The sequence below is a fragment of the Homo sapiens genome, chromosome 7 (genome assembly GCF_000001405.40).
Source record: "Homo sapiens chromosome 7, GRCh38.p14 Primary Assembly".
Classification (NCBI taxonomy): Eukaryota; Metazoa; Chordata; class Mammalia; order Primates; family Hominidae; genus Homo; species Homo sapiens.
Window position 1 is genome coordinate 85,610,559 of NC_000007.14, and position 12,912 is coordinate 85,623,470.

Consider the following 12,912-nt stretch of genomic DNA (forward strand, 5'->3'; position numbering starts at 1 on the left):
ATTCTATTACAAAGATACATGTATGCGTATGTTCATTGCAGCACTATTCACAGTACCAAGGACATGGAATTAACCCAAATGCCCATCAATGATAGACTAGATAAAAAAGAAAATGCAGTACATATACATCAGGGAATACTATGCATCCATAAACAAGAATGAGATCATGTCCTTTGCGGGGATGCTGATGGAGCTGGAGGCCATGATCCTTAGCAAACTAATGCAGGAACAGAAAATAAAAGATAACATGTTCTCACTTATAAGTGGGAGCTGAACAATGTGAACACATGGATTAAGGGGGGAAACAACAAACACTGCAGCCTATCGGGGGTATAGTAGGGGAAGAGAGAGCATTAGGAGAAATAGCTAATGCATGTTGGGCTTAATATTTAGGTGTTGAGTTGATAGGTACAGCAAACCACCATGACACACATTTACCTATGTAACAAACCTGCACATCCTGCACATGTACCCAGAACTACAAATTTAAAAATAAATAAAACAACAAAAAAATTTAATTGAATTGACTTTGCACCTTTGTCAAAAATTAGTTGTTGTTGGCTATATTTCTAGACTCTATTTTTTTCCATTTGTCTATGTGTCTATTCTTTGTCCACTACTACAACAGCTGTATCTTTATAGTAAGTTTTAAAACCAGATAGCCAGAGTTCTCCAACTTTGTTCTTTTTTCCAACTTGCATTGGCTAATCTAGTTTACAAATTTTAGAATTGTTGTTGAGATTGTTTTGAATCTAGAGATCAAATTAAATCTGAAAATTCATTAGCCTACTATGTCTCCCTATTATTTAGGTCTTATTTGATATTCTCATTAATGTTTTGTAGTTTTCAGCAGACAAATTTTGCATGCATTTTGATAGAGTAAAAGTGTTTTCTCAGTAGTGTGATGAAAGTAATATTTTCAAAATATCCAATTGTTAATGATACTAATAAGGAACTCAATAGGCTGGGCATGGTGGCTCACACCTGTAACCCCAGCACTTGGGGAATCCAAGGCGAGTGGATCACCTGAGGCCAGGGGTTTGAGACCTGCCTGGCCAACATGGTGTAACTCTGTCTCTACTAAAATTAGCTGGGTGTGGTTTGGGGGTGCCTGTAATCCCAGCTCCTCAGGAGGCTGAGGCTGGATAATAGCTTGAACGTGGGAGGCAGAGGTTGTATTGAGCCGAGATCACATCACTGCACTCCAGGCTGGGTGACAAAGAGAGACTCTGTCTCAAAAATAAAATAAAATAACTCCAATTGATTATTTTATATTGAATGTGCATCTTATGCCCATGCTTAATTCACATATTTATTTTAATAGCCTTTTAATAGGATTTTTTCAGATTTTCTACATTCACTATTATATTGCCTGCAAATATAGACAGCTTAATTTATTTTTAAAATATGTATGCATGTTATACATTCTTTTTGCTCTGCTGAGTTTACTCCAAACTTCAGTACAATGTTAGATAAGATTATTAAAAGTGACTATCCCAATTGTGTTTTTTATTTTAGGAACATACCTAACCAAGGAAGTGAAAGACCTCTACAAGGAAAGTTATCAAACACTACTTAAGGAAATCATAGACAGGACAAACAAATGGAAACACATCCTATGCTCATGGATAGGTAGAATAAATATTATGAAAATGACCATACTGCCAAAACCAATCTAAGAATTCAATGCAATACTCATCAACATACCACCATCATTCTTCACAGAACTAGAAAAAACAATCCTAAAATTCATATGGAACCAAAAAAGAGCCCCACGTAGACAAAGCAAGACTAAGCAAAAAGAACAAATCTGAAGGCATCACATTACCCAAATTTAAACTACACTATAATGTTGTAGTTACCAAAAAAAAAAAAAAGAATGGTACTTGTATAAAAATAGGCACATAGACCAATGGAAAATATCATAGAGAATTGAGAAATAAAGTCAAATACTTACAGCCAGCTGCTCTTTGACAAAGCAAACAAAAACATAAAATGGAGAAAGGACACTATTCAACAAATGGTGCTGGGATAATTGGCAAGCCACAAATAGAAGAATGAAACTGGATCCTCATCTCTCAATTTACACAAAGATCAACTCAGCATGGATCAAAGACTTAAATCTAAGACCTGAAACATTTTCCAATGTTAGAAGATAACATTGGAAGATAACATTGGAAAAACCCTTCTAGACACTGGCTTAGGCAAAGACTTTATGACCCATAACCCAAAAGCAAATGCAACAAAAACAAAGATAAATAGATGGGACCTAATTAAACTCAGAGGCTTCTGCACAGCAATAGAAATAATCAGCCAACTAAAAAGACAACCCACAGAGTGGGAGAAAACCTTCACAATCTATATATCTAACAAAGGACTGTTATCCGGAATCTACAAAGAATTCAAGCAAATCAACAAGAAAAAAAATCCCATCAAAAAGTGGGTTAAAGACATGAATAGAAAATTCTGAAAATAATATGTACAAATGGCAAACAAACATACGGAAAAGTGCTCAACATCGCTAATTATCAGGGAAATGCAAATCAAAACCACAATGCGATACCACCTTACCAATGCAATACCAAGAATGGCCATAATCGAAAAATTAAAAAAAAAAAAACTAGATGTAGTCACCACTCACTAAATAACATATCCATGTAACAAAACACCACCTGTTCCCCAAAAGCCTACTGAAATAAAACTAGTTTAAAAAATTTAATTAAACTTAATTTGAAAAATACAAATGGCAAACAGGCATATGAAAATATGCTCAACATCATTGATCATCAGATAAATGCAAATCAAAACTACAATACAGTGTCATCTCACCTCAGTTAAAATGGCTTTTATTCAATAACAAATGCAGTAATGTGGAGAAAAGGAAACCCTCATACACTGTTGGAGGAAATGTAAATTGATACAATTACTATGGAGAACACTTGAAGGTCCATCAAAAAAGTAAAAGTAGAGTCACCATACAATCCAGCAATCTCACTGCTGGGTATATGCTCATAAGAATGGAAATCAGTATATCGAAGAGATATCTGCACTGCCATGTTTATTGCAGGAGTGTTCATAATAGCTAAGATTTGGAAGTAACCTAGGTGTCCATCAACAGATGAATGGATAGGGAAAATGCTCTACTTATGCACAAGCACTATTCAGTCATCAAATAGAATAATATCCTCTCATGTGCAACAATATGGATGGAATTGGAGATAATTACGTTAAATGAAATAAGCCAGGAACAGAGAGAGAAACTTTTCATGTTCTCACATACTTGGGGGATCTAGAAATTAGAACAATTGAACTTACGAAGATAGAGAATAGAAGGAGGGTTATCAAAGACTGGGAAGAGTAGTGGAAGGGAAGTTGTGAAGATGGTGAATGGATATAAAAAAAGAATTAGAAAGAATGAATAAGATCTAGCATCTGATAGCATAACACGGTGACTGTAGTCAAAATTATTTAATTGTACATTTTAAAATAACCAAAAATGTATAATTGGATTGTTTGTAAAACAAAAGAAAAATGCTTGAGACTATAGACACTCCATTTTTCATGATGTAATTATTGTACTTTTCTGCATGTATAAAAATATCTCATGTACTCCATAAATGTATACATCTACCATGTACTCACAAAAATTAAAAATAAAAATAAAAAGTTTGAGGTCTCTGGCGAGATAGCCGATAAGACACAGACAAGTGGAACAGCGCTCACAAAGAGACAAGATGACTGCTGATCTTTTAACAGATCTTCAGAGGTAAGGCACGGAGAGTAGACTAAAGGAAGACACAGAAGCTGGGCTGAAGTGGGAGAAAACTGGCAACCCAGCACTGGGCTACCACACACAGGGACTTATTTTTGAACCAAAACATCTCTGAGGTAATGGGTGATTTGAACTGTCAAGGAACAACCTGCTGTCATCATGGGCCTTTGGAACCCCAACAGCAGGAGACCCCTCTACCACCACGGACACTAGAAGATGTAGGGAGAGCTGCTTACAGAAGTGGTGTGGGCAGGAAACCAGCTTATGTGGAGCCCAGAAGGCTTGGGGTGTGGGAGCATCTCTAACAGAGCATGGCCAGGGATGCCCATTCTCCCTAGGTTCAACTTGCTCTCATATGAGATTTTAGCCCCAGGGAAACTGTTAGACCTAATCTCTGCAGGTTGGTCTTGCCTATCAGATGGAGCTAGTTTGACCTGAGCACCCCGTGGTCGGCTGGCCTCTCCCTGAACCCCATCCTGGCCACACCTGCTTGCAGGGCAGCCCTGGGGACTGTGCCAGAGCTTCCATGCTGGTGGGCCATGCCTGAGCAGTGGAAAGTTCCAGGCAGCCAGTCCCTGTGACCACGCACCAGTCCGCATGCTGACTCCCAATACTGCAGCTTCCCCTTGGCCCATGGCAACTCCCCACATCACTTTGCTGTTGCACGGGAGGGCTTTGCTTTGCTTGTCTTGTCAGCACACAGGAGTGCAGTTTGCCCCCATTTCCCCACTGACCACCATTGCAGAAGTAGCTTTGGTGGGCACAGAGCCAAAAAGCCCAGCCTCCACCAGTGCCCTTGCACTAACCCTGCATAGAGAACAGCAAATCCTCCCACACACTGAGCGATCACTCTTGCTTGCAGGGTACAGAGAAGGCACCCAGACCTGCATATCTATGGAACTCTCCACTCCAAAACAACAGAATATACATTCTTCTCATCACCACAAGGCACTTATCTAAAATAAATTACATAATTGGAAGAAAAACACTCCTCAGCAAATGCAAAATAACTGAAATCATAGTCTCTCCAAGCACAGCACAATCAAATTAGAAATCAAGACTAAGAAATTCACTCAAAACCATGCGATTACATGGAAACTGAATAATCTGCTCCTGAATGACTTTTGAGTAAATATTAAAATTAAAGTAGAAATCAAGAAGGTCTTTAAAACTAATGAGAACAAAGATAAAACATGCCAGAATCTCTGGGACACAGCTAAGGCAGTGTTAAGAGGGAAATTTATAGCACTAAACGCCCACATGAAAAAGTTAGAAAGATCTCAAGTTAACAACCTAACATCACAACTGAATGAACTAGAGAACCAAGATCAAACAAATCCCTAAGCTAGCAGAAGACAAGAACAAAACAAAATCAGAGCTGAACTGAACTGAACAAGATTGAAATACAAAAATCATTTAAAAAAATCAACAAATCCGGGAGCTGGATTTTTGAAAAACTTAATAAAATAGATAAACCACTAGCTAGACTAATAAAGAAGAAAAGAGAGAAGATTCAAATAAACATCAGAAACAACAAGGGGGATATTACCACAGACCCCACAGAAATACAAACAACCATCAGAGAATATTATAAATATCTCTATGCATGTAAACTAGAAAATCTAGAAAAAAATGGATAAATTCATGGACACATACACCCACCTGAGACTGAATCAGGAAAAAAATAAATTCCTGAACAGACAAATAATGAGCTCTGAAACTGAGGCAGTAATAAAATGCCTACCAGCCAAAAAAAATTTTTTTTTTAAATTAAAAAGCCCAGGAGTAGGTGGATTCACAGCTGAATTCCACCAGATATGCAAAGAAGAGCTTGTACCATTTCTATTGAAACTATTCCAAAAATTTGAGGAGAAAGAACTCCTCACTAACTCATTCTATGAGGCCAGCATCATCCTGAAACCAAAACCTGACAGAGATACAACAAAAGGAAAAAAAAACAAAACTGCAAGCCAATATCCTTAATCAACATGAAAAAAAAAATTCCACAACAAAATACTGGAAAATTGAATCCAGCAGCACATTAAAAAACTTATCTACTATAATCAAGTAGGCTTTATCCTGAGATGCAAGGTTGTTTCAACATACACTAATCAATAAATGTGGTACATCATATAAACAGAACTAAAGACAACACATGATTATCTCAATAGATGCAGAAAATGGTTTGAAAATGCAGCACCCCTTCATGATAAAAACACTCCATAAACCAGGTATTGAAGGAGCATACCTCAAAATAATAAGAGGCATATATGACAGTCACTGCCAACATCATATTGGATGGGCAAAACCTGGAAGCATTCCCCTTGAAAACTGGCACAAGAGAAGGATGTCCTCTCTCACCATTCCTATTCAATAGAGCATTGAAGTCCTGGCCAGAGCAATTAGGCAAGAGAAAGAAATAAAGGGCATCCAAATAAGAAGAGAGGAAGTCAAACTATCTCTGTTTGCAGATGACATGGTTCTTTATCTAAAAAACCTAATAGTCTCAGCCCAAAAGCTTTCAAGCTGTTAAACAACTTCAGCAAAGTCTCAGGAAAAACAATCAATGTGCAAAAATCACTAGCATACCTATACATCAACAGTCAAGCCGAGAGCCAAATCAGGAAAGTAATCTCATTCATAATTGCCACAAAGAGAATAAAATACTTAAAAATACAGCTAACAAGAGAAGTGAAAGATCTCTACAAGGAGAATTACAAACTACTACTGAAAGAAATCAGAGATGACGCAAACAAATGAAAAAACATTTTATGCTCATGGATAGGAAAAAGCAGTATCATTAAAATGACCATATTGCCCAAAGCAATCGACAGATTCAGTGCTATTTCTATTAAACTACCATTGAGATTCTTCATAGAATTAGAAAGAAGTGTTTTAAAATTTAGGTGGAATCAGAAGAGAGTTCAAATAGCCAAGGCAATCCTAAGCAAAAAAACAAAGCTAGAGGCAACATGCTACCCGACTTCAAGCTATACTACAGGGCTACAGTAACCAAAACAGCAGGTTACTGGTACAAAAACAGACATAGACCAATAGAACAGAACGCAGAACCCCTAAATAAGTCCACACACCTACAACTGTCTGATCTTCGACAAAACTGACAAAAACAAGCAATTGGGAAAGGATTCCCTATTCAGTAAATGGTGCTGAAATAACTGGCTAGAAATATGCAGAAGATTCAAACTGGAACCCTTCCTTACACCATGTACAAAAATTAATTCAAAATAGATTAAAGACTTAAATGCAAAACCCAAAACTATAAAAACCCTGGAAATAACCTAGGCAATATCATTCACGAAATAGGCATGAGCAAAGATTTCACGATGAAGATTGCAAAAGCAATTGTAACAAAAGCAAAAATTGACAAATGGGATCTAATTATACTAAAGAGCTTCTGCACTGAAAAGGAAACTTCCAACAGAGTTAGCAGGTGACCTACAGAATGGGACACAAATTTTGCAAATTTTGCTTCCCTAAGGTCTAATATTTAGCACCTATACAGAACTTAAACAAATTTACAAGAACAAAAGCAATCCCATCAAAAAGAGGGCAGAGGACATGAACAGGCATTTCTCAAAAGGAGACATACATGCAGCCAAGAATCATATGACAAAAGCTCAATATCACTGATCATTAGAGAAAATGCAAATCAAAATCACAGTGTGATACCATCTCACACAAGGCAAAATGGCTATTATTAAAAAGTCAGAAAATAACAGATGTTGGCAAGGTTGTGGATAACCAACACATAATAAGAGAAACAAGAGTATTTTTATTTGTAAAATAAATAATTTTAGTAAAAGAAAAAAGTTTGCATAGTACATGTATTATTTTTCTATGAAATATAAATAATAAATACAATGAAGTTGCTAAGTTTCCAAATATCTTGAGATTTTAAAACTATATTTATTTTACTGATTTTTGGCTTAATTCTGCAGTATTCAGAGCACTTATATAATTTTGCTCATGTTATTCAAGTTTGTTTCATAGCCAAGAATATGATCAATTTTGGCAAATGTTCCACATGTACATACTCTTAAGTGCACATTGGTGGGTATGGTTACTGTTAGTTGGTATTGTATATAAAGACAGGTTAATTAATGATGTTGTTCAGATCTAGCATACCAGGAGTTAGCAAAGATTTTTTGAAGGACTAGATATTAAGTATTTTGATCCCATAGATCATATTGTCTTTATCACAACTACTCAGCTCTGCTGTGGTGATGTGAAAGCCATCATAGACAATATGTGAATGAATAGATGCATCTGTGATTCTGTAAAACTTTATTTACAAAATCCAGTAGTTGCTCCATAGATCATAGGCTACTGAGCCCTGGTTTCAGACCCTTCTGGTGGCTGATTTACTTGTTCTATTGATTACTGTATGGGGCATTGACATCCCCATCTATAACTGTGGATTTGTATTTCTTTTTTCAGTTCCATTAATGTTTGCCTTGTGATTTTTAAAGCTCTGCTCTTATGAGCATACACATTTTTGGATTATTATGTCTTCTTCCTGAATTGATGTTATCATTATGTAATATCATTCTTTTATCTTTGAATTTTTTTTTAATTGACGGAGTCTCACTCGTTGCCCAGGCTGGAATGTAGTGGTGCAATCTTGGCTCACTGCAACTTCTGCCTCCCGGGTTCAAGTGATTCTCCTGCTTCAGCCTCTCGAGTAGCTGGGATTACAGGCACCTGCCACCATGCCTGGCTAATTTTTGTATTTTTTTTAGTAGAGACTGGGTTTCACCACGTTGGTTAGGCTGGTCTCGAACTCCTGACCTCAGGTGATCTGCCTGCCTCGGCCTCCCAAAGTGCTGGGATTACAGGCATAAGCCACCACACCTGGCAGAATTGTTCATTTTTTAAGTCTACTTTGTCAGCAAATATAGAAAGTTAAACTTTATTTTCATCAGTATCTTTATGTCATATATTTTTCCATCTTTCTGCTTTAAATTTACTTCATACTTCTCAAACACTTGAGATTTTGCATATGCTAATGCCTCCCCTTCTTTCTGTAGCATATCTCAGTTTATCACAGATGACAATCCTAGCAATTGCTATGCTAATGGATTCCAGGGACTATCAATCATACACCCACCATCAGTGATGAGAACCCGTAATTCAGTCAATGATTGACTGTCCCCATACAAAATTCCAGAGCAAGAAAAATCTGTGGGAACACATGGATTTGTAAGTAAAGGCAACTCCCATTAAACTAAGGGGAAGTGTCCAGAAAAGGGGAATGTTGTAAGCTTTTAGCAGTCTATGTTTGTGGCAGCTGGAGGAAGGATGTCCTGGTTTGTTAAAGGAAATCTGAGGTGAATGCAATGGCCTCTGCTATAAAGGGAAAGCACAGTGCTTTGCACAAAACCAGATTAACTCAATATCATCTGAATGATTGTTAGCCTTTTCTACTTCCCTAAGACTTTGTTCACTAATACCGACATCATGTCCTTTTGTATATGAAACAAAAATTCCTTATTTCTCCATTTAATGATCACATTTCACATTGAATATCCTACAAATAAAATGAATTTCTCCTAACACACTTGTCAAATACATTGAACATGTTTTTTGTGCATATGGCTTTGCCCTTTGGTTGATAGTCCTTCCTTACATGATTTTTAGTATTTTTTGGGGGGAATTTTACATATGAGCTCACTCCAGTTTTAGTAGACAGTAAAATACACATTCAGAAGCCTTTCCTTTACATACAAATTTACAATGAAATTTCTCTCTTATGTTCAGCAATAATTCTACCAGTAGTATTCATTTAGACCTTATGTAATGGTGTGCATTACTACTTACCCATTTTGGGGTATATTTTATCCATGCAATCAGACTAAGTTGCTTGAAACAATGGGACTATAAAGTATGCCTGTTTTTATTCTTCTCAAAATTAAAGAAAAGTGTTTCATCTAAGAGGGCATTGTGTAACAGTCTCAAAGAGAGAAGCCAAATCTATTTAAGTTGTGCCCCCATCATACTGCATAGTCCCTGGCATATAGAAAACTTCACAGTAGCAAAGACTTGGAACCAACCCAAATTTCCATCAATAATAGACTGGATAAAGACAATGTGGCACATATACACCATGGAATACTATGCAGCCATAAAAAAGGATGAGTTCATGTCCTTTGCAGGGACATGGATGAAGCTGGAAACCATCATTCTCAGCAAAATATCACAAGGACAGAAAATCAAACACTGCACGTTCTCAGTCATAAGTGGGAGTGGAACAATGAGAACACATGGACACCAGGAGAGGAACATCACACACTGGGGCTTTGGGGGGTGGAGGGCTGGGGGAGGGATAGCATTAGGAGAAATACCTAATGTAAATGATAAGTTGATGGGTGCAGCAAACCAACATGTGACATGTATACCTATGTAACAAACCTGCACGTTGTGCACACATGTACCCTAGAACTTGAAGTATAATAAAAAAAAGAAAAATAAATTAAGACAATTTATTTCTTCTGGTTAAGCGCATATCCTGGCATGTCTGTCTGTTTGTTTGTTTGTTTATGGGTGCTTATACAAAACCACAAATCTAATAACTTGATTTTAAAAAAATGGGAATATTCTCTGAAATGGCAGTTTTTTTTCTAAATTGCATTAATCTGTTTTTAATTACTATGTGAAAAGTGGTTAGTTTATTCCATTTATAACCCACATAGTGATGAACATTCTTGAATTTATTTCTCAATTTCTTAAAACCACAGACCTACAGATGAGTTTGAATCAGATCCAAAATGTATGGTTACTTAAAACACATGGGGACAGGCTGCAGATTGGAGGGAATTCTATAAGCACAGGCACATGACAGCTAGAAATTAGGAAAACAATTTGAATGGAAAGAATTGAGCCATATCTTTGTTAGAACTAAATTTACTGACTTGTTTATGAAATAACAATTGAGGTAAGTTTCTTAAGAAAATACTGGTGAATGTAAACCAGTTTCATTTATTTATTTTGTGTACATATTTACAAGCCCTTAGGATTCTACATTATAGTCAGAATAATGTGTGTTTTTGTAAGGCTATACAAGAGTAAAAGAAACTGAGCTAGTATTGCCAACATAGCCGAAAGAGGAAGTATCTAAAATCTAACGAGAATATCCTTCCATTTCTGAGAAGTATTGCAGAACCGTTTTGCAAACCTAGGAGATTTGTACAACCTAAGAAAAACAAATATTTGAGTGCTTATTCAGACTGACTCTGTCAAAATGTGCCCATTATTAAAAGACAAATTTTCTCTGGTGGGCTAGATAATTTCTCTTTTTGACAAATGAATTACCACAAGGGAAGCCTGTCAACTCTATTATATGTCCCTCTTTCTCTTTTATTTGACTTCTAGTCATTTCAAAGCCATTTTCATTTGGTCTCTACTACTTTGACATTGACGTTTTTCTCATTTTTCCCCTCATCTTAGTTATTTGATTACCTCCTTAGATACCTTTTAAATTGCCCTTTCATTTTGTTCTCCTCTTTTGTATATTCCTCTTCCGTATAGAAATATACTTCAACCATTTTCCTCAAAGCTGTGGTCACATTTTATTACAATGCAGTAAAATTATACTACAAGCTCAGTGCAAATATGCTTCAGTATTTTGTACATGCTATTCTTTTTTGAATAAAATATGCTCATTGTCCCCCTTCTATCACATGCCGTAAACAATTCATGCTGTATCCTATTCAACCTGTGGCAAAACACTCATTTGTCAATAGTCGGCTTGGCTATCATTACTCTTGAAATATCAACATTTGGTCTGGTTTTTCAGAAAGAAACAATGGAAGAGTATTTGGCCCTTGATTGAAGCTAGCACTAGGGTTTTCAGGAATAAGAATCTATGAGTCTTCAGTCTCATATCACAAATATTGTGACATCCCACTGAATATGTCTTCTTTCTTCTGACATGTCAGCAATTGTTAACATTCTTCTCTACCTTTAGTTTAAATTCCCAGAAAAGAGCATCTTATGATCTGAGTGAATTACTCACTTCTGCTAAGCCAAACTCCTTCATGTCTGACCATATCTTTGCATTTTGACTTGCCTAGGGTTGAGTTATCTTGGATTACATGTCTGCTACTGGTCCAGTCATTGGTGGCATATAACATGGCTAACCAGTGGATAAGGGCTGTGACCTGGCAGTGCTCCTCATTCAAGCATGTGAGCAAGGAGATTGCAGTCACTGACTGACATCTCATTTTCAAATTATTTTTTTGTAGCACAATCTATTTAATTTTTACTTTTTAATTTTTGTGGATACATAGTAGGTCTATACATTTATGAGTTACATGAGATATATTGATACAGGTATGCAATGCTTAATAATCACATTAGGGTAAATGGGGTATCCACCACCTCAAGCATTTATCCTTTGTAACACAAACAATCCAATTATACCCTTGTAGTTATTTTACAATGTACAATTAAATTATTTTTGACTGTAGTCACCTGTTGTTCTAGGAAATACTAGGTTTTAATCTTTCTTTCTATTTGTTGTACCCATTAACCATCCCCATATCCCTCTCACCACCCACATACTCTTCCCATCATTCTGTGAGTTGTCTGTTCACTTTTTAATTGTATTTCTTTCACTGTACAGAAGCTTTTTAACTTGACATGATCCCATTTGTTTATTTTTGCTTTGGCTGCCTGGGCTTGTGGGGTATTTCTCAATAAATCTATGAGTTTTAATTGTTTTAAAACAATTAAATTAGATTGTTTTAATTTTTAGCTTCCCAAAATAAGTGAGTACACATGATGTTTGTCTTTCTGTGCCTGGCTTATTTCACTTAACATAATAAGCTCCATTTCCATCCATGTTACTGCAAATGGCTGAATCTCATTTTTTTTTTTTTTTTTAGTGGCCGAATAGTATTCCATTATGTGTAAGTACCATATTTTCTTTATACATTCATCTGTTGATGGACACTTAGGTTACTTCAAAATATTGGCTATTATGACTAGTGCTGCAGTAAACATGGGAGGATTGCAGATATCTATTTGATATACTGATTTTTTTTTTCTTTTAGGTATATAACTAGCCATGGGGTTGTAAGATAATATGGTAGCTCTATTTTTAGTTTTTTGAGGAATCTTCA